General features: G+C 55.7%; 1 protein-coding gene across 125 annotated transcripts in view, besides 3 other annotated features; it reads right to left on the reverse strand.

The window, feature by feature from the left end:
• CELF4 (CUGBP Elav-like family member 4) overlaps positions 1-21810 on the reverse strand; it is a 322955-nt gene that overhangs the window by 4913 nt on the left and 296232 nt on the right. For 21 of the 125 annotated variants that reach the window (NR_148522.2, NR_148525.2, NR_148524.2 and 18 more), the window contains exons 9-12: positions 18777-18842; positions 16918-17001; positions 11425-11508; positions 6011-6182 (exon numbers count right to left, since the gene is read on the reverse strand). Coding sequence is in view for 114 of the 125 variants with exons in the window: in XM_047437647.1 (XP_047293603.1) it covers positions 6055-6182; positions 11425-11508; positions 16918-17001; positions 18777-18842 (362 nt within the window). In the remaining 11 variants the exon portion in view is untranslated. Of the gene's footprint in view, positions 1-6010; positions 6183-6548; positions 6628-11364; positions 11509-16917; positions 17002-18776; positions 18843-21810 lie in introns of all 125 variants that reach the window. The other 104 variants (NR_148520.2, NR_148521.2, XM_047437649.1 and 101 more) reach the window with 14 other exon arrangements.
• Positions 1781-2281: an enhancer, noted in NCBI's record as "H3K4me1 hESC enhancer chr18:34829500-34830000 (GRCh37/hg19 assembly coordinates)". NCBI's record gives its function as "activates a minimal SCP1, AML or CMV promoter by ChIP-STARR-seq in primed H9 embryonic stem cells {active_cell/tissue: H9 hESC(primed)}" and the evidence as "EXISTENCE:reporter gene assay evidence [ECO:0000049][PMID:30033119]".
• Positions 2282-2782: an enhancer, noted in NCBI's record as "H3K4me1 hESC enhancer chr18:34830001-34830501 (GRCh37/hg19 assembly coordinates)". NCBI's record gives its function as "activates a minimal SCP1, AML or CMV promoter by ChIP-STARR-seq in primed H9 embryonic stem cells {active_cell/tissue: H9 hESC(primed)}" and the evidence as "EXISTENCE:reporter gene assay evidence [ECO:0000049][PMID:30033119]".
• Positions 6303-6452: a silencer, noted in NCBI's record as "silent region_9407". NCBI's record gives its function as "represses an Ori minimal core promoter by ATAC-STARR-seq in GM12878 lymphoblastoid cells {active_cell/tissue: GM12878}" and the evidence as "EXISTENCE:reporter gene assay evidence [ECO:0000049][PMID:35858748]".

Below are 21810 nucleotides of genomic sequence, written 5' to 3' on the forward strand. Positions count from 1 at the left end.
TGGGGAGGGGGGCATGGGCGGTTTGGCAAGGGGGCCAGAAAAAAAATAAAACAGCCCCTCAAACCACCTTGGCCAGCAAGCAATCTCAGGGAGCAGGCGCTCTGCTTTTCATCACCCTTGATTCTTTCTCTCCCCCAGGGGTGGCGCTCCCTCCCTCCTCAGCTTTCTGTGACTACAGCCTGTGGGCCAGCAGGGGATGTCTGTCAAGGTGGCCCTGGTCAGCTGGGTAGGTCAGAGGCTTGCTATGGTAACTGCTGTGTCCACGGGGTCCATCTACAAAATGCTTTGCTGCCATAGTACCACCCAGGCTGGCAGCAGCTCGGCCCTCCCACCCTGTGGACCCACCCTGGCCACCATCCTAGAGAAGGCTGCAAGGGCACCCACTGTGGAGGTTATGGCCCTCCCCCGTTTCTGCTCCACCTCAAATTACTTTCCTCAGAACCTGAGCAGGGTTCATTTTGAGATTTAGGGTAAAATTCATCAATGTTCTTGGAATTCTAGAAACATGCCTTGGCACTACTGAGTTCATCTTGCATTTGCCTTACCCTCTTTCTTTGCTCACACTCTTTGCCTTGCTCCCAAGTGGCCTGTGTAACCAAACTGAGGCTGCATCTAGGCACATGAAGCCCTTCGAAGGTTCTGCAGCCCTGACCCATAAAAGCGCCACATGGAAGGCTGGAGGGTGCCCTGCAGGGGGCCATGTGCAAGGCTGGAGGGTCCCCTGCAGGGGGCACAGAGGCGAGCGCCTCCAGCCTTTGCTGCTCCCACTCTTGCTCTGCTGACTTCCCCTCCTCCCTACCCCATCCTCTTTTCCCACCCTCTCACCCCATACCCCTCCAGGAACAGCTTTCCAGCCTGGCCCACCGCAAGGCCCCAACCTTCAGCTTTCTTTCCTGGTGGAGCCCTAAGTAGTTGAGAATGAGTTCTCTTCGCTATCAGGAATCATCAGGTGATTCAACTTTCGGCTGACTTCTCCACCCCTCACCACTTCATAGTCCTCTGCTGCACCTGGGCCCCTTTGGGGTCCTTAGCTCCACCCCTCCCCATAGTTATCTTGAGCTTGCACTGGATTCCCTGCTCCCCTGTGGCACTCAGGCCTGGGCCAAGGCCTGTGTGCCAGGTTGATCTGCAGGCTTTCCAGTCCACAGGCTTCTACATACAGCAGACTTTCACTCTCAGCTTTATGCTTTCCTGCAGGGAGGGAGGGAGGGAGGAAGGGAGGCCTGGGATCTTAAAATATCACTGTGGATGAGGGGCAAAGAAGCTGAGCCCAAGCCCGGCCTCCAGCTCAACCTTCACAGAAGCACCCTAGACTCCTCCTCTGCAGACCCCAGCCTGCCTGCCCACCAGGGCTGGGTTCTTTGCTCTTCCAACACTGGATCTCCTTCCCCCAGATCAGGGACCGTCCCATGCCCACCAAGTCCTGAAATGCCACTTCCAACTCCTCCCAGAAGCCCTTAGACCCACCCAGGATGGCCAACGGGCAGCTCCCGTTGGCACGGGAGAAGAGGCCTAAGGAACTAAGGAGGGTATTGCCATCAGATGGGGGCTGTGGCAACTGCAACTCAGGGACTCCCTGGGACTCTCCTCTTTCTCCCTCCATTCCAGCCCTGAGCCCTTCATGGGCGTTTACTCCTTCCCACTCTGCCTGCTCCTCTCCCAGCTTTAGAGTGCAACCGCTTGTCAGGGCCAGGCACTGTCCTGTGTACTGCAGCACAAACCTGAATAGCACACAGCCCCTGTCCCTAAAGCTCAATCTAGGGAACTTCCTCACACATACCCTCATCTCTCACACATGTGTGGCCCTAGACACATAACACACCCTCACACTCAGTCCCTGAGGAGCCCCCAAGACTCCACGGGCTCAGCTGGCTACTGTCTTCATTAGGCAGCAGCTCCTCTTCTGCCTGCAGGGTGACCCCTTCCCGACCACTCTCGGGGTGGAGGCTCACAGAGCACAGCCCTAGGTGTGGCAGTGGGATCACTGACCGGCATGGTGAAGTCCAACTCACCGAGCTGGGTGAGGAAATTATGGCCAAGCTGAACCAATTCAGATCTCAGGTCCTAAAATCAGCTGGTCTCAAGCAAAGGAGGGCCAGGCCGAAAGCTACAGCCTGGCCCTGTATAGGTCAGACCCAAAGCACCTGTGCCTGCAAAGCCTGGACCCGACACTCTCCAAAAGCATACTCAGAGCCAGAGTCACAGGACTCACTGGGGTCAGGACAAGATGCTTGGTGCACTCTCCAGCCATAGAACTGGAGTGCTAGAAGTCTGAGAACCTGGCCTGCTGCTGGGGCCCAGTGTGTCTGGTAAGCAGTGGCGGAACAAGGGGCTCAGAGGCCAATCTCTGAGCTGGGCGGGGCCAGGCTGGGTGTGTTCTGCCCGCTGGCTATGGACCTGGCCACATGCATGTTTTTGCCTACTCTTCCTGCCTTTGCTTCCTTCCTTATTTATTTCCTGGCAAAGATTGCTTAGAGAAACTCCAGTCTTAGCACAAGACAACAAACCCAAGCCACCAGAGGGGTAGGGCAGTGGGGAAGCAGAAAACCCGCCAGGAAGGAGAGTCACTGACTCCAACCCTAATCCCACCCCACTCAGGACCTTGCTTCATGGAACCAAAGCCCAACTGTACTCCCCACAGCTGCCCTGCCTAGGCCCTTCTCCCTCCCCTAGGTCTGTCCCCACTCCCTTCTGACTTGGCCTTAGAAAGCCTGCACCACCATGGGGCAGCTGCCCTAGCCCTGAGGTCCCCCTTCCACCTCCCACTTTGCTCCCAGCTATGGCTGGTCCCTCGGCCCCTGCTCAGGCTTCCTGCCCTTCTGAGCACCTGGGGCTGCAGCTCAGGCCTCAGCACAAATGAATACCCTTTACTGGCCTGTGATACCAGGCAGTATTTTAGCTGATTTTTTGTGCCTTTTCCTCCCTCGCTGGCAGTCCGAGGGCAGCCACTTCTCATTGAGCCACTGCCTCAAGGCAGTCCCCAAGGCTGCCTTGAGAAGCTCTCTATCTCTTCTTAGCAACCGCCTTCTATTAGAGCTTCCAACAGTCTTGGGCTGGGAAGCCTGACAGCACCATTCGTTAAAATACTGTCTAAATGAAAATTAAATGTCAACCTTACTGTAGGAGTTATGTGACATAGTAGTTTTTTAAAGGACTGCTTAGTAGAAAGGAGGTGGTTAGATGGCTGACCCCAGAAAAGTGAGGTGTCATATGTACTCCCTCAGGACATTCAGGGTACTCTGGGGTAATAGGTTGGGGTGAGGGTAGGGTGGGGCTTCTCATTCTCCTCACTTGAAGGGGAGAAGGCTCCCTGGCTTCAAAGCTTGGCTCTGTGACTCACTAGCTGATGGGCAAGCTACTTAATCTCTCTGTGCCCCATCTGTGAAATGGAAATACTAACACTACCTACCTTATAGGTAGTTGTAGCTATGTAGTTAACATCTCCTAGTTGTTACTTCTCGGAGCAGTGCCTGGTGCATGGTAAGCACTGTGTGAAGGTCTAGGGTTCTAATCTTTCTGCCCTTTGCATGCCCTGGTGGAAGAACCGACTCTGTGTTTTAAACCACTCCTCCCAAGCCCCCACCCCAACTCTGAATGCCAGCTGGTTCAACCCTGTGGGCACTTCTGACCTTATATCCCAAACAATAAACCTGCCTTCTCACTCCTTCATCTGGGAATTCTTCTAACCTAGAGGTTTTATCCTGGCTTGAGCCAAGGAGGCTAAGACAAGCTACTTTCAGGGGTGCCCCTTGGAATCTCGGGACATGACCCTGCCTGATTCATATCCCCCTAACCCCCAAATCCTCTAGTTGACTCTAACACCTTAGTCTCATTAATGAGAAAAAAGAAGCCCAAAGAGGACAAGCACCCTAACCCAGGTCACACCTTAATGGCAGAGCTATGCTGATTTAAGAAAAAGTGTCCTATATACAGAAAAAGCTGCTTTCACGAAACCGTCCCTCCATTCCTATGGAAATGCCCCCATCTGCAAGCTGCCTCCTGGTGTCTGTGTGTGCACAGAGCCAGAAGCTCCTCGAGGGCAGGGATGGTGACTCATTCATCCTTGCATCCCCCACACTGGGCCCAGTGCCTGGCACAAGAAGGTGCCCAAACTCTGAATAACATGTGTGTTTGCATCTGGACACAAGCCAGAAATGGGCAAGGATGGGAAACAAGCCAGAAATGGGCAAGGATGGGAAACCAGGAGGCAGGAAAGACTGGTTTTGCTTTTCCAGGATTGCAGAGAGTGGAGGCACAAGCACTCCCCCAGAGAGAAGGCCCCTGCTCTCTGAGGGTGAGAGTTGCTACTTCTGGGTGGAGGAAGGGTGTTCTGCTGGTATCTGTACCCCAGCACTGGGTGGAAGATTTGAGGGGAGACTGGGAAGCTGGAGACCTCCCTCCCAAACTCTGGACTGTGAAACTCAAATGTGTATTTTTCACATGCCTGATCTTTCTCCCAATCCCTCTGTTCTTCCAGTGACTTGGGCCAAAAGCCTGGGACTCATCCTTGGCTCCTCTTTCAAAATACACCTAGAAATTAATTCCTTCACATCTCATCAACTGCTGTGACACTGGACTGAGTGGTCAGTGCAGTAGACCTATGCTTTGGCCCCCTACAAGCTATTGTCAACACAGAAGCCAGGGTGACCCCACTGAAATGCAAGTTACCCATCACTCTCCTATTCAGAACTCTCCAATGCTCTCTCCATCTCCCATTTCAGAGAAGAGACCAAAGTCCACGCAGTGGCCTTCAAGGCCCCACACCAGGTGGCCCTCCTCACTCTCCCAGCAACCCAGTCTCTTGCTGTTCCTACTCCACTCTGCAGCCCCACCTTGCAGCCTCCATACTGACTGTTCCCTCAGAGGCGGGGGCATGGCTGCTTCCCTCACCTTCTATGCTCCAATTCACTTCCTCAGTGAGATCTACACTGACCATGTGGTTTAACTGTAGCCAACAATCTCGACATACTAGATCATATTCTTTGATCACACGTCATTGTTTATTGTCTGTCTCCACCTTCTCAATCTTGCTCACTGCTGAACCCCAAGTACCTAACACAGTAGCTGGCACACAATACTGCTGAATAAATGGAGGAACATGGGCAGGGAGGGGCGGTCAGAGGGCAGCAGGGTGCTGAGCTGGAAAGGCCCGAAAGGAGCCTTCACCTCTGCTCTGTGAAGAAGCCGAGGCTGCAAGAGCCACAGCACTGGGGGAAACCATTCTGAAGGTTGACTTTTGATGTCCTGGGGAATCTCCCCCCATTCTTTCTGCAGGAAGAACTTTGCTCAGGGGAACACGTGGGCTGGAAGAGGCGTGGCTGACTGTGTCTTCAGCTCCTAGGCAGGACCCAGCCCAGCAGAAAAGGTAACAACGACCACTCATCATGACCCGTGTGGGGCAGGCAGGGCCCGGGATCTCAGTGCTGTACCATCACCCTCCTCAGCTTTCATCCCATCCTGCTTTGTTTCTTAGTAAAGTTCCCTTTGAAAGATCCTGTCCTTCCTCTCTTCACTGAGCTATGGGGAAAGACAGGGGTGCAGGGGTCAAGTGTCTAAAGGCTACCAGCCCTCCTGGAAGAACTGGGGAGGAGAGAGCCGGGGGTCTGGGAGCAGGCCCCGCGGGCGGCTGCAGCTCTTCTGGGTAGAGCCTGTTCTGCCCCCAACCTCCCTCAGCCTGAGCTTGCCACCTGTTCACCCCAGGGTTCTCTGGCCAACAGGACTGCCAATGTAGACCCGGAGGCGCAGGCCCAGGGCTCGCCTCACCCGCCCGGAGTGGCTCCCTCACTCCTGCCCCTGGTGGCCCTGCCACAGGGAAATGGCCAGGCCCATTTCTGCCGGGGTGACGGCAGCTCTGCGCCTGGCCCGAGGAGCAGGGCGAGGAGCAGGTTGAGCCGGGCGCAGCGGGTCCAAGGCACCAGTGAGGGTCCGGCCCACGGAGGCCGGAGGAGGCGGCGGGTCCGTCTGGTTCCCTCCCAACCCCCGTCCCCGCGCCCCGGCCGCCCCCGGTTACCTGTGCGAGTCCTGGTCTCCCCCGGGGGACGCTCCCGCCGGCGCTCAGTACGGGCGATTGGCGTCTTTGGGCCGCTTCAGCTGCACCTTGAGCCTCTTCATGCCGATCTGGAAGCCGTTCATGGCCTGGATGGCGGTCTGCGCGCTGGCCGGGTTGTCGAAGCTCACGAAGCCTGGCGAGACACGAGGGACGAGGGCCTGGGTTTCCACGGGGCCGCCCGGGGCGCTGCCGGCGGGGAGGGGTCGGGGGACAGGGGGGCGGGGCGGGCCTGAGGCTCTCCCCCTCGGGCCCCGCCCCCGGCCCCGCCCCGGTGCCCGCCCCTCTCCAGCCCGCGCGCGCGTGCTAGGCCCCTCCGGGGGCAGGCGCTGGCGGGGACCCGGCTCGCTGACCTGCGCCTAGTCTCTGGCCGCGTCACTCGCCCGGCGCCCGCTCCCCAAGTGGGGCCCGCGGCCGGGCGGCGCTGGGAGAGGCGCCCGCCCCCCACCCCCGCCGGCCCCGGCACCTCAGCCCTCGCCTCGGCGGGAGAGGGCGGACACACCTGCGGGTGGAGGAGTTTATTGGACACTGTCCTCCCTGACAGGAGGGGGCCTGGCAGCGCGCGGGCACAGGGTGCCGGCCTGGGGAGAGAGACGAGTGCGAGGGGCCGGGAGGGAGGCGCCGCCGAGAAACTTCTCCACCGCCGGCCCGGCCGCCCCCCTCGCCACCGCAGGTGCCCGGCTGTCGGAGGAGGCCCAGAGGCTGAGCCCTCGCGGGCCCTCCGCCCCCACTCCCGGCCTCTGCCCGCCCCGCCAGGCTCCGGGTGGGCCCTGGGCGTCACCTCGCCCCGGGCGCCGTCGGCACCTCTCTTCTCCACGCCCTGCGCCGTGGACTAAGCACGCACCAGCTGATATGTCCATAACAAGTCACAAGACCATCAGTGCAAATCAGGCCACAGCCCTCCGTGCAGAAGCGCTTCCCACGCGTTCACTCCTGTGCCCAGATGGCATGCAGAACCTTGCGGCTCCCAGGCCCAACCGCGCAGGTCCCAGATGGGCACAGGTCATGTTCCCAAAATGAGGTCAGAAGTCACCTTTGGGGAACTCTGAATGCATCTCTTCATACAGACAACATTTTACATCAGCATTTCCCAAACTGGCCCTAATAGGTGCTCCTCGAGAAAGGGCTTGTGTGGTCAGGAGGTTTAGAGCCAGGCCCACTGGGCCAGTGCAGCATATCAACAAATAACGTCCCCTCCCTCACCGAGTTGTAGTAAATGAACCTTTATAGCTTTGTTTAATCTAGTATTTCCTTGAATTCATTCGACTTTAGAGGCCTTTTCTCCTGTAAAAAGGACTTAGATCCTGCAAAATATATGAAAGCTTGGCGAGATACTGAGGCGTTCCCATGAACGTGCCCGTTGCGTAATGGTCCCCAAATGGCCATTAGGTATAAGACAGAGATGCACAGCCACCCGGGAGTGAAGTAGAAGCCGTCTTCTCAGTTTATTGTCTGTGGTACCTCGGGCCTGCCTTGGGACTTCTCTCCAAGAAAGAGAGCCCTTCCTCACTTTCCCTACCTGCTGGTTCTTTTTCCCTCTTTCCCTCTGCCCCAGATGCTGCCTCCATCGTCTCTTTCTTTCTCTCCTCTCCTTCCTGCCTTGCTCAAGTTTGCTCCTACAGCCGAACAAGCGCAACAATTGGTCAGAGCTGGGCCCAGAGCAACAAAACTAACCTCTGTATAAATATAGATACCAGAATAAATAGGGAGAATTTCAGCTGATCCATACGAGATTCGCCTCCAGCCATATTTCCACCAGCTCCCCTCAGCCCCTCCTGGCCCGTCCCCACCTCCGCTGACCTGTATGTCTAATCACTAAAGTCAAGTTACGTCAAGTAAAAGTCAAGTACTTAGTAAACCAGAGCAGTTTTCAAATATGTGAATTGTGTGTTGATACTGCTTTCCCCAGAATAAGGAAGGTGGCTGGACAAAAGCCTGTCCCTGCCAGGACAAGGTAGCCTGACTATGGGGGACATGCTGCCCCTCATTCTTCTCATCATCCACCTGAGCTCAAAGAAGGGAGGGGAAAGAAGATAAAAAGGGCTGGAGGAGCTGTCTAGGGCACAGGCGTAGCGGCAGGCAGAACCACTGTGTGGGGAGGGCAGAGAGGAAGTTCTGGAGGAGGGCAGAAGCCCAGCCTTCCTGGAAGAGTTTAGAGGTCCTCGGAAGCCCGAGAGTTGAGAAGCAGTCCAGGGTCAAGGGAATTTTTCTTCCCTTGAACTGTTAGTAACTGGCTAGCAGTCTGAGCAGGGTCCCTCCCCTGCAGACTGGAGGCCCCTGTGGCAGGGCTCTGGGCACTGTCTCCCAAGTTCATGGTTCCAGGACCGTCTTCCTTCTTCCAGAGCTACCTCTCCTTCCCTCCTCCTATCCTCAGAAGGTTTCTGCTCCCAGGCCCTGTGGGAAGGCCCGCAGATAGAATCCCCCTATGGTATTCCCCCAGCCCTCCTTCCAACATAGGAACATTTGTGCTAGACATGCCCTCATGAAGGTATCTGGAAGATTCTGCTCATAAATTTACACATGTGCTTATAAAGAGTGAATGTGGCCTTTGAGGAGTTCACTTTAACATAGGGCCACTTTTATAGCAAAAATAGCACTTTAAGAACAAAGGGGACCTAGCACTTCCTGAGGGTCTGCCCTGGGTAAGCTCCCTCACAGCATCCCTGGGGCGATGATTAAAATCCCCTTTTCACAAAGGAAGAGATTGAGGCTCACAGGGTTAAATGACTTGTCCATGAGGGAATGCTGAAGTTAGGTATCACTTTATTTTATTTTTATTTATTTATTTTGTTATTTATTTTTGAGACGGAGTATTGCTATGTCACCAGGCTAGAGTGCAGTGGTGTGATCTCGGCTAACAGCAACCTCCCTTCCTGGGTTCAAGCAGTTCTCCTGCCTCTACCTCCTGAGTAGGTGGGATTACAGGCGCACACCACCACATCCAGCTAATTTTTGTATTTTTAGTAGAGATGGAGGTTCACCATGTTGGCCAGGCTGGTCTCGAACTCCTGACCTCAAGTGATCTGCCCGCCTCAGCCTCCCAAAGTGCTGGGATTATAGGCATGAGCCACTGCACCCAGCCTAGGTTTCACTTTAAAGGCCTCTGGGATATTGGCAGAAAGCTCAGCTGCCTGGTGAGAGAGAGAACCCAAGTGGCTTAACCAGGAACAGCTGGGCTGGACCAGCATCTCAGGAGTCTGTCCTTTTTTCAGGGCTGGTATGCTCGACATCAGAAATTTGTTCAAGAGAGGAGAGCTAGATTAGAGGTATACTAATTAGAGAGAAAAAAAAACTGTAGTCCTGGCTAATTTAAGTGGGCTAACAGCTTAAAGAGGGTAGTGCTTAGAGCAGACTGCAAGGAAATGCCTTTGGAAAGCCGGACTGCACCCACACCCGGGATGGTGCAAATATGCCAAGCCCAGCTATGGCTGGAGACTAAACCTGTTCCAGCAGAGGCGCCCAGAGCTTCCTGGGCTCTCAGCAGCGCTCTTCTCATTTATGTAACATTTGGGACTTCCTTAAAGAGCAGATGCAACTGATTTCCAGCTTGTTGTTTTTACATACATAACTGTAATTCATAAGGAGAAATACCAAAGAGTGGAGGACTGCAACCCTGTCTTTTGCTTCTGCTTTGTTTTTCCACACCCAGAGAGAAATGAGCTGCTGGGGCAACTCCATGCCATTGAAAGACCACAAGTTTCCTGTGGCAGCTCCAGAGGGGAAGGGACAATGGTGCAAAGATCTTGACTACTTTGGGGAACATGCTCCGAATCCTCAAGCCCTTCATGATTCCAGAAGGTTGGACTCCAGACTGGAAACTCCTTAACATGCGCTTCCTGATGCTGCACTCCTGTCTCCTCTCCCCTCCACCACCCCCAAGCTGTGACCTGGGTTCCTTGCAACTCAACCTCCTACTCTCTCCTCCCAGCCCCAGAATCTGGGGGTCAGCCTGGAGATACTGAGTGTCTGGCAGACTCAGCTCTGGTTCCATATGTGGCTCTCTGGGGACTGGACTCTTCAGTCCTCATGACTTACGAAAGGGTCTGGCCCAGAAGGAACGGATGAAGGAGAAGGATGAGGAGGTCGGAGGGCAACAAGGAGGAGTGGAGGAGAAAGGGTGATATGAAATTCCAGGAGGAGGTCTGACGCTTGCTGGATAGGGTTGCCAGACTTAGCAAATAAAAACACGGGATGCCAGTTACATTTAAGCTTCACATCAACAATAAATACTTTTTACTGTAAGTACATACTTATACTAAAAATGTATCCTTTGTCTATCTGAAATTCAAATTTAACTGGCCATCTATATTTTATCTGACAGCCATACTTCTGGATGCTTTCGAGTTTTCCCTCTCCCATCTAACACCATGCCCTGAGCACATTTCCTGCAAACTGTATTTTTATTACTCTCAGCTCAAGGACCTCCCACCATTTCCACTGCCTACCACACCCCGTGAAACACCCCCCTCTGCATAGTGGAAACCCCCCAGCACAGACACCACACCCCCGCGCCTGGTCTCCCTCTCACTGTCCTCTGGCTCGTCTCACCCCAGCCCCATGCCTTCCTCATCCAATTCTCCCCACGTGGAGTTCCCTCCCTTCCTTTTTGTGTATTTATATCCATCTGCCTTCCTTGTCGTTTCATTATTAGGTGCCTCGCAGATTTCACTGCTATAAACATAATTTTCATCTAAGCTCAGCGCTTAGGCTTCCTGAGGGCAGGGACCAGTCTCCTCTTCCTGACTCCTCAACAATGCCCAGCTCTGGTGGCCTGAGGCAGGTGAGTGGGGAGGGCAGGAGGGGAGCAAAAAGCAGGGTAGACAGAGAAGGAGTTGGGGCAGGACAGAGAGCTGGAGAGAGGAGGCGAAGGGGTGGGCAGGAGAGGGGCCTGGCTAGGTGACTGCCCTGCCCAGGTGTCACGCTCTGATTTAGCCTCGGGCTCAGGCCAGGCCACTCTCACCATGAGAGGAGAGGGGCTACTGGGGGAATGGGTGTGGCTGGGCTCTGCCTGCTGCCCCTCCTACCCCTGTCAAGGTGGCCCCTTTCCCTTCTCAGTAGGTTGGAATTTGTCTGGAAGAGGAAACCCATTTCTTGGACCGGGAGTGGGAGATGGGGAGCCAGGTTGTGTGGGTAGGGAAAGCCAAGAAGCAAAAGGAGTAGTGGGAGAGAGAAGGGTGAGATGAGGCTGGTGAGGGCCATGGAGCAGCTGGGGCGGGGGCAATGTGAAGGAGCAGGTTAAAAGCAGTCGGACACCGGTAGGTTGGTGCGAGCACCGCCCTGTCCTAGGTGAAGCTAATTGGTTTGTTATCTTTACCCACCAAAGCATTTACTTTGGTTAGTCGCCCGATCCACAAACACTTTCGAGGAGATGACATTACCGAAAGGGAGGAACATCTGCATCAGCTCAGCGTCCCCAAACTCCTGGGGCAGATGGTAGATGAACAGGTTACAGCCCTCGGGCCCTGCGGTGAGGGGAGGGGGTGGGCGGGGGAGGAGGGATGGCAGGGTGGGGGAAGAGAGAGACAGAGGAGAGGTGAGCGAGTTAGGCAGCGCAGCAGGGAGGGGTGGGGGCAAGGTTAGGAGGGGGAGTCTCATTCCAGATCCAAGGGCGCCCCAGAAGAGGCAGGGATGCTGAGCCCCGGGTCTGAGCTCCGGTCTCTGCTCTGCCCTTGGGCAAGTCACTGAACCTCTCTGTGCCTCAGTTGCCTTTTCTATAAAATGGATCTGTAGCAGAGGCTTAGAAACCCTAGGGCTCCAGAGGCGGAGTCGACCTACTGCTGTGTCTCTGGAAACCAGGTGCTGAAGATAGGGAAGGCCCAGGAGATCCGGGAGGCCTCCCTCCTGCCCTGCCCCTGCTCTGGGGGGACCAGGGCATCCCCTGGGGCAGCCAAGTCCTGTGCTGGGGAGACCCCCCACTTTCCCTTCTCGCAGGCCAGTCTCAGACTCTGGGATTGGGGTGCCCATCCTCCCCCTGGCCTGCAGCCTCTCTTTCTCATCTGCCCCTGATGGCCCAACTGTCCTGCCCAGTTCCACACACCCAGGAAACCAAGATTTATCCTGCCTCCTCCTGTGTAGGTGCGTAGGAAGCGCTGCAACTGAGGCTCTATGATTAGCCAGGGAACCCTCCAGCCTCATGACATGAAGGTTCTTCATTTCGTTACCACAGTAACAGCCCTGCGACTTCAGCAGCACAAACTATGTGTCAGGCTGTTCTGAGCACTTTACATGTCTCTAACTCACTTAATCCTTACAGCAACCCTGTGACATTATTATCATCATTGCCACTTCACAGATGAGGAAGTGAGGCCCAGAGAGGTTAAGTCACCTGCCAAAACACGCACAGCTGGGAGGGGCCTGGAGCCAGGACATGAGCCTAGCCTGTCTCCATAGAGTGAATTCTTTCCCTCTTGCTACCAAAAATCTCAATATCCCAGATCCCCTGAACACTATGCAGGGCTTTAGCTTTCTAAAATTCCCAATAACTAACCATTTACCTGTTTCTTTTGAAATAGTCAAAATGCTCAATTTTAACTCTTTAAAATGGAAATCGTTCCAAGATGCGTCTTAGATAGCATATGCCACATATAATTTCATCTTTTAAAGTGACTTGTGGTCATTTCAATGATGGTGTCCAAGCTGTGGTGGGAATGGGAAGGAACCAACTGCACCTAGTGTTGTGTAAGAAGCAAGGTTCTGACCAGAGGCTGCTGGAAACCTAGGCATGAGCTCAACAGTGAAGGCTGTAAGGCACCAACATGGGCCGCTGCATGGCTTTCACGCCAGAGCCAACCGTCCTTGTTCTCTGGGAGCCATGAGGCTGCCAGACAACCCAGTTCTGGAGTAAAGGTTCGATTTAGAGACTCTGCACCTTCTCTTCTGCTCCTCTACCTTCCACTCTCCTCCTTTTCTCCATCTATCTCTATTCCCTCAAGGTCCACAGCCTAGAACAAAAATTTCCCCAACCCCTAAAGCTGCCCAAGGAGCCACTGGCTTCCTCCCTCCTTGGTGCTCGCCCTGTGCCCTCTGCCCACCCCAGCCCTTCGGCCTCCCCTCCCTGGACTGCTGGCTCCCAGGCATCCTGCTGGGGGACGGCGCATTCAGAACCGGGCACAAACATGCTCCCTCACCCCCTTCCAGGGGTTCCTGGTGCTGGATACCCCCGAGCTCTGGTGGCCCTCCCCTCACCCTGTCCCCTCCAACCATGCTGTCTTCCCACTGGTTCATGCCCTGTGAATGTGCCCTTGGTGGCCCCCAGCTCCCCATACCCTCCCTCTCTGAAAGAACCTCCAGCCTCTCCCTGCTCATGCCCGAATCCACACTTCATCCTCTGGGGTGGGGCTCTTTCTCTTTTATGTCTAGAGGTTTTTCTCTCCAACCAGACTGGCTGCTCCCAGGGGCATGCTCCTTCTTGTGTCCTCCTGCCCAGCCCCCTCCAGCCCCCCCCACACCTCCCTTCCTCCTCCCATCCTCACTCTTCCAGGCCCTGACTGCTCCAGCCCATGCTGACACCTGCCTTGACTTGGGGCCCTGGCTCTGAGTTCAAGTTCTGCAAGCTGCTTTATGTGGAAGCTACATCTGTTCTCCTTAGAGATAAGGAGCCTTCACAGACAGGGCCCGCAGGCTCAATCCCACATGCGCGGTGTGTGGCGGAGCCCCAGGGATGACTCTCTAGCCCAGGCCTGACGAAGAAGCCAGGGCAGCAGCTCTAGTCCCTTCCCCTGGACAGTGAGCCCACACGCTGTCTAACTCCAGCTACCGCCAAGCCCTTCTGCACTCCCTCATTCACAGATTACAGAACATGCAGATGGCAGAGCTGGCAGGACTTTAGAGACCAATGTGGTCCAGCCCAGCCTTCTGAGAAATGGTGAAGCGGAGCTGCAGAGACAGAAAGCGGCTACCCCTGACCACCTTGCAGCCCTGGCAGAGCCGCTGCGGCAGCCATCCCTGAGGGCAACCTCATCCCATCTGTGGGGCAGATGGCCTCTGGGGAATTCAGGCATCTGTCTGTTTTCAGGCTCAGCTCAAAGATGAGGAGGTGGCAGAAGGGTCCTCCCCTGCCACCAGAATATCCTGGTATTTCCATGACATTCCACATGGGGAGGGGACCATGACATAAAGAAGCCAACTCTTGGCAGGGTTGGAGGAACACAGCCTTCTTTCTTGTTCATGACTCGGACAACTCTGTGGGACACGGCTTTGGCCAGGCTCCAGCCCACCTTGCGCCTGTCTCTCCCTGGCCCCATGCTCACCTTGGACTCTGCAGCAGCTGCACTTTTAATCCCGCTGTTCCCCCTGCCTGGACCTCCTGCCTCCCCAGCTCTATGTGCTGCCAACCTCTGCTCATCCTTCCAGACCCACAGAAGCCTTCCTGACAAACCACTCCCAGTGCCGCGCTCTCACCCGCCCATGCTGTGCGGCTCTGTTGGTATCGTGCATTACTCTTCCCCATCCCCTGCATCCCTGGGGTGGCTCAACCCATGGACCATGGCCTGGGAGAATGGGGACAATAGCAGCAGATCCTGCCACCCCAAGGAGAGGCTGGAGCCAGGACTGGCCACAGAGGGCCTAGACTAGGGAGCAAGGTGTGTGTGTGGGGTGGGGGAGGGGGGGGCAGGAATTGCAGCTGCTCAGAGATGGAGAGAAGGAATGAGGAGGAGTTCAGAGCTACACATATGGGATGGTGGAGTGTAGGGTGGGAGAGGGGCAGGAGGGCCCATGGGGGCCTCAGTTTAAGGCCTGCAGTAGGGGCTGTCATGTGTGTTGGGCAGGGTGCCATTGACCTACGGCTGTGTGAAGGGTGGGGCAGGATTTAGAGACCCCTGAGCCAATAGGCCAGAGTGATTCAGGGAGCTGACAATGGCACCAGTGGGAGAAAAGATATCAGGGCCTGTAGGCACAGCTCTCTGTTCTGGACCTGGAGCGGGCAACATGGGGACTCCTGGACCCCACCCCTTGTGGCCCTGGTCTTACTGATGAAGGCTTGGACTGTGGGGAAGGCAAGGGCAAGGCAGGCCCAGGGCTGCAGCCTGATGAGGGGACCACCCCCACCCCCACTTCACCAGTGGTAGCCCAGTGTCCCTCAGCTGCAGCAGCGTGAGGCAGGGTATGGGCTGGGCCTTCCTGTGCACCCCTCTGGGTTCCTGTAACTTGGCTTTCCTGGGCATGGGAAGCCCTGATGCCCCTGATCTCAGAAGTTGCCTGCTGGGTGTGAGCTGGGGTGGTATGCCTCATGCACAGCCTTGGAAGGGGTGGTAGCTTGGTAAAGGAAGGGCAGTGTGCACTGAGAATGGAGTTTGGGGGCAGACTCAGCCGGCTTGGTCCTCACACCCCTCCAGAGAACGCTCCCCACTCTCCTCACTTTGCTGTGAGGACACTGAGGCTGAGGGGATAGAGTGATTTGTTCAGATTCACAGGGAAGGAGGTGCCAGAGTCCCACCCAAAAGGGTTTTCTCTGAAGGCCAGGCTCTCAGCCAGGCAGGCTGTGGCACCTCTTTGGGGTCTGAGGGACTTGTCTGGCACTGGGGCCTGTCAAATGATGTTGGACCAGCAGACTCTTGAGGCTCTTTCCAGGACTAACCTACATCGGAGGGCTCCAGGACACTATGCTGCAGGGGCTATGAGTCAGGATTTTGGAGGCCATCGGAAGGCTCTGACCACATGGGCTGCAGGGGCAGATTTGGTGCCTCACTACCCAGTGACCATTTCCATAGGGGTAGAGAGGATGGGACCTTGTTAGTGTCCTGCCCCCTCAAGCTGAGCTCTCTGTGGCAGGCCCACAGAGTCCCAGACGGTGCGCCTGTTCATCCAGCCTCCTGTCTTCCTGCTTATGTGGGTACCTAGGCACTGGGATGGGAAGACACTGACTGGCATTCCGAGATCCCTGGCATCTGACCCAAAGATCTTGCTGTCCTGCCCTGTTCACACCAGGGCCTTGGGACACAGCTTTCCAGGATCACCCCCTTCTTCCACTAGGCCTGTACTGGGGCATTCTCATCTCTTCTCACCCTGCCCACGCAGTCCTGCCCTGGGAGCTCCACCTGCCTCTCCTGGTCACCCAGAGGGCACAGCTCCTGTGGGTGATAAACTCATCTCCCTCTCTCATTCCCCTCAGCCATGAGCACTCCTACTTCTCCCCACCCTCCCCACTGGCCAAATCCTGCCCACCAGAGGAGGGGGATTCTTGGACCCCACCTCCTCTGGGGCTTCCCTTCCTGACCCTCTCAGCCTGGTTACCATCTTTTCCTCAATGCACACAGCTATCAGAGCTGGTTCTGCAAACCACCATGTTGTTGGAGTCTCATCTCCCAGCTATTCTCCCTGGGAACACAGTGGTAGGCCCTCCAGTGAAGACCCCAAGGATGGGCCTCTGTCTCCTCTGGAAGACCAGAAACTCCCTGGGTCAAGGACAAGGCCTGCACTGGTACACACAGGCCTAACCTCTGCTAGGTTCTGCTTAAGGGATGGTTCAAGGGCTTGCCAAGGAAGAAACACAAACCCAACCATTCAGAAGGGGTTCTCATAGACCAAGGTTTTGATATGTGAGCTCTGTGTCAGGCCAGCAGCAATGATTGAGGGGAGTAGGAAAGGTGCCTCGTGTGGGACCTGCCAGCCCTCAGGGCATTCTGTCCAGGCCCCTGCCCCTGGGCCAGACACCACTCTGGTGTACAGAGCTGTCCACAAGAAGCGGACCTCTACCCTTAAGTTGGAGAGCGCCACTCCTCACAGCACTGCTGTCTTCCCTTGCCCACCTCAACACAGCACACAAACGTGGTCACCTTTCCAACGCACACCCCAGCCCAAGGCCCAGGTGAGCAGCCTCTTTGGGGACAACAGGGGGAGGGAGGGGCCCAGGAGCTGGCCTGCAGACTCACCTTCTCTCTGCTGCTGGGGGATCATTGGAGGCGGCTGAGGAAAGGCCTGGCTTATCTGACCATAGGCAGCAGGGTAGGCAGCTGCTGGAGGCCCAAGACAAGAAGCAAGAGCCGGCGACAAGGCAGAGAGTGGAAGCAGGAAGAAAGAGAGAGATTTCAGTGCAGGCAGTAAAAGCAGATCAGCCAAAAAGCGCCCTGCCACTCAGCCACTTAGGACAAAGCCAGCTTTCAGTTCCCAGACTAACAGAGGAGTTGCAAGGTGAAGAGTGGAAATGGGTGTGTGGGTGTGTGTACGTGTGTGTGTGCGTGTGTGTACATTACATGCATACATGCATGTACGTGTGGGGATGTGTGTGTACGTGTGTGTGTACATTACATGTGTACATGCAAGTGTGGGTGTACGTGTGTGTACAGTACATGCATACATGCAAGTGTGTGGGTGTGTGTGTACATTACATGCATACATGCATGTGTGTGGGTGTATGTGTGTGCGTGCGTGTACATTACATGTGTACATGCACGTGTGTGGGTGTGTACGTGTGTGTACGTGTGTGCGCGCACGTGCACTTGTGTACATGGTGTTAGTGCATGTGTGCATACATTACATGCACACATGCACGTGTGTGTGTGTATGTTTTGGGGGAGGCAAGTTGAATTTCAAATAGTGGATGAACCACATGTGTGCATAACACAGAATCATGGATAATTAAAAACACCAAAATGGCCTGGACAAGATCACCCCACACCACCTGGAATCCACAGGAAGGATTTCCCACTTCTCTGAGCCACAGCTGACTCCAGCTGGCAGGCCCTCACTCCCACTCAAACGGCACCTGTGTGGGAGGTGGGGGCCACCTGAGGTGTGGACTTGGCCTCTGGGAAGGCTGCCAGGGGGTAGTCCCCAGGGGCAGAGGACTGAGTTGGATAAACCTGATTGTCCAACTGGAAAGGGCCTGAGGTAGGACAGGAGTGGCCGGCTCCCTCCTCTGCCTGGCCTGGCTCCCATAGCAACAGAGCCTGAAGTCAGAGCTCAGGGGACCCAAGAGGTGACAGCACCTCCTCTGGGCTCCAGATGTGCCAGGCCAGCTTCACCTCAGTCCCCTCACCCCTTGCCAGGTAGCCCCACTGCACTCATGGGAGACAGCACTGGCTCTTCTAAGCACAGGGAAGAGAGACCCTGATCAGGTCAGGCAGTAGGACACAGGCTAGGCAGGGATGATGATGGGGTGCTGTGTAGTCCAGGGGTGACAGAAAGAGAGAAGCCTGGCTGACAGCTCGGCTTAGGCTCAGTGACCCCAGGCCCTCTGCTCACTCAGGGCTGTCCCTTCCCACCTCTCCTCCTCTGCTCCCTGTCACACCTGCTGGGGCCCCATCCTGCTGCCAGTGTGTGAGGAAGGGAATGGGGAAACGGCATCTCTTCTAGAGGCCCTCCTTCTCTCAAACCAGGCATCTGTGCTTCCTGGGCCAGTGACTGTGGCCCATGGTGGGCAGCATCCAGGTCCAGCCTCGCCTGTGGTGCTGGTGTCAGACCTGGTGCTCCTGGGCAAAGTGGCCCTGGAAGCTCCATGGGGAAGGGAAATCTGGCCTCAAAGACAGGTAACTGCCCAGCAAGGGTGAAACTTCCACCTGGCCTGCCCACTTGCCTGAAGTTCTGCCCAACCCCACTGCAGGGGCACTCTCGGTGGCCCGCTGACAAGAAGGCAGCCTGGAGGGTCTCTGCCAGCACAGCCCTCCCTCTTTCCACTCTCTCTCCCCACCCCATGCAGTGCTGGCCCCAGGCCTGAGGGGGCACTGGTGTCACAGGCGTGGAGAGATAAACGGAGTTGGGGAAGGAGCCGTGGGGACGCGTGGATACTAACGACCTGCATACTGCTGCACTCCGGCGTAGGCCTGCTGCAGGGGGTCCGCGGCGGTGGGGCTCTGTGCTGTAGGGAGCCAAGGGGACAGAGGTCAGCAGTGCCCACCACACTGGCCCTTCCCCTCATGCCCATGGGGACAATGATGTAGCTGTACTGCCTTTTCTGGCTACTGCAGGCTGTGCCCTGGGGCAGGGCATCCGAGACAGAAACCCTGAGTGCCTGGACCCTCTGGGGGTCACCTTCCCTAGCCCAGGGCTCTTGGCAGGGTAGACAGTTGCCCACCCTGGCTGGGGGATGCAAGCTGCAGTTGGCCTAGGGCTGGGGTAAGATGGGGGCTCATGCAGAGCACTGTGGAGGGTTGGGGAGGAGATGCCAAGGAAGCCTCAACACTGAGATGCTGGTGGTGGGGGGGGACACACAAGGGGCCCAGCCCTGCAGAAGGGCTGTGGGGAAAGGGGAGGGGGCTGGCAGCCCCCAGTGGGTGAAAGAAAGGGCAAGAAGGCCTCACACTACCACTTTGTCCTCCTGGGCCACTGTGCCTGCTCACACAGAGGGATGCGCCCTCACTGTCAGGGAAGCTGCACCAGGCATGGAGGTCTTCCACCCCCAGCCCATGGCTAAGTTCCTTTCAGCAGGGACCAGCTACGCAAATAGGGTCTTCCCAGCAAACTGGGAGAGGGGTGCTGCCCGCAGAACCGAGGAACCAGGAGACCAAGGACCTTCCTCCTGTCTTCTGACACTGTGACCCTGGGATGTCTCCTGCCCAGTGGGAAGAGAGGTCCCCTGTACAGATACTTTGGCAAGAAACTCAGGGAAGTTGGGCTGAGAGAAAGGCTTGGTTCCCTTCTGTTGTCTTTGCTGTCTCTGCTGAAGCTGTGGGCAAAAGCCTGAAGCATGGGCCAGCAGTAGGCACTGGTTTTGGCGACCAAGGCTGGTGGTGACTAATGTGGGAGTGGGCTGGCTTTGGAAGCCCAGAGAGGTGGTAGAGGCAGGGACTGCCCAGAGGGAGGATGGAGCCCTAGGATGCTTGAGGGAAAACTGGATAACACGATGTGGCAGGAAGAAACTATCTGGGCTTATCCGCCTGTCAACTCAGGCCAGCTAAGCTAAGTGGCCATGCCAGGCTTTGGGACCTTTAGTCTAGGGAGAGTGCCTCAACTTCCCTCCTGAGCACGTTTCCCTGAGTATCTCACTAAACCTCCACTAGAAAAAGGGCACCTGGGCTGGGCACGGTGGCTCATGCCTGCAATCCCAACACTTTGGGAGGCCGAGGTGGGTGGATCATCTGAGGTCAGGAGCTTGAGACCAGCCTGGCCAACATGGTGAAAACCCGTCTCTACTAAAAATACAAAAAAATTAGTGGGCATGGTGGTGGGCACCTGTAATCCCAGCTACTCAGGAGGCTGAGGCAGGAGAATCACTTGAACCCGGGAGGCGGAGGTTGCAGTGAACTGAGATCATGCCATTGCACTCCAGCCTGGGCAACAATTGTGAAACTCTGTCTCAAAAGAAAAGAAAAAGAGCACCTGGGCCTGAGGGGTGCCCAGGGAAAAGCCTGGGGCAGAGGTCCCTAGAGACAGTGGGACAGTAGGTTCTATAGCCCCCAGGAGCAGGATGCGGCAGGGGAGTCAGACCCACGGGGGCTCTGCTCAGATGGGGGGAGCTGAAGATGAGCCACAATGCAGGCTCCTTCCTGCCTGGGGCTGTCCCAGTCCCACACCCTGTCCCTCTATTTCCCCCATGGTAGAGACTGGCGCTGAGGGCTCCTCAGTGTGATGTGCTTGGGAGGGTGGTCTCCTCTCTGCCTTCCCTCTGCCCCTATCCTCTGCCAGCCTCTAAGCTCTATAGAAGGAGAACCACGTCCGGATTGTGCTCTTGGTCTTTCCAGCTATTCATCCATGCAGTGGCTTTATGCAAATTAGAAAAGGGTGCCCCTTCCTTTGGGCATACAGTTTGGTGCCCTCATGCAAAATATAACCTGCACGATTTGCATGGCAGCTGCCAGCACAGTGCCAGGAACATCATAAGCATCTGGCAGAGTATGATGAAAAGAATGAATGAACAATCTTTAATGTTTGCAAGAGCCACCCCTTCAAGGGTGTTTATGTGACAGTAAAGGCCACACTGTGTGTATCCAGCAAGAACCCAAGAGGGGAGATCAGAAAAGCTACCTGGGGCAGGGAAACAGAAAAAAGCATTTATGAGACCCTTCTCTACTTCTCTGCCTAACGACCTCATTAGTAACTGCCAAAGAGTGAACATTTTGAAGGATCTCGCTCATTACAGCGGGTCCAAACTCCGCATTTAAAGATGGTAAATTAATTTTTTTAATGTACTACTTTTTTCCTTTCCTTCCCTCCATCCCTCCCTCCCTCTTGCTCTGGCAAGGAATTGTTTATGAGATGTGGCAGATTGTTACAAATAGGGGAAGAAACATTTCCAAATTCCATGAGGGAAATAGCTCACAGATGCCAGAGGGGGTTGGGAAGGAGCAGGTTTATCAGGATCCAGAGATCCAGATGGGCTTGTGGGCAGGAAGGGGTGGGAAATGAAGCCACCCAGATGTGCTGGGGATGCCATCTCCCAGCCCATGAGCCTTAGACTGGTGGGATCTCTTCCACCCCCAGCTTGCACAGCCCCACCCTGCCACCCTACCAGCTTGGGGTCATCATCCTTAAACAACACTCCAGATCATTAGAGCCTCATCACTTCACTCTCTAGACTCCTCTGGCCTCTTCTTGGTGGATTGAGGGATATATTATGGGGCAAGCTCTGGAATGGGGAATGGGATTAAGGAAAACTCCAAGTTCAAAGTCAGGAAATTCTCCTCTATTTCCCTCTAGTACAGTGACCTTGCACTCTGCTGCTAGTGGGACTTTTATATACTACAAATGCCTGGTCTGCACTCTAGACAGGGAAATGAGAATGTCTGGGCTTATGTGGTTGTATAAAGCCCCACAGTGGATTCTGATGGGCACCCAGAGTGGGGAACAGGACCCAGCCCCTGCTGCCAATTCACCTTGGGCTGGCCTGC

The sequence above is a fragment of the Homo sapiens genome, chromosome 18 (genome assembly GCF_000001405.40).
Source record: "Homo sapiens chromosome 18, GRCh38.p14 Primary Assembly".
Lineage (NCBI taxonomy): Eukaryota > Metazoa > Chordata > Mammalia > Primates > Hominidae > Homo > Homo sapiens.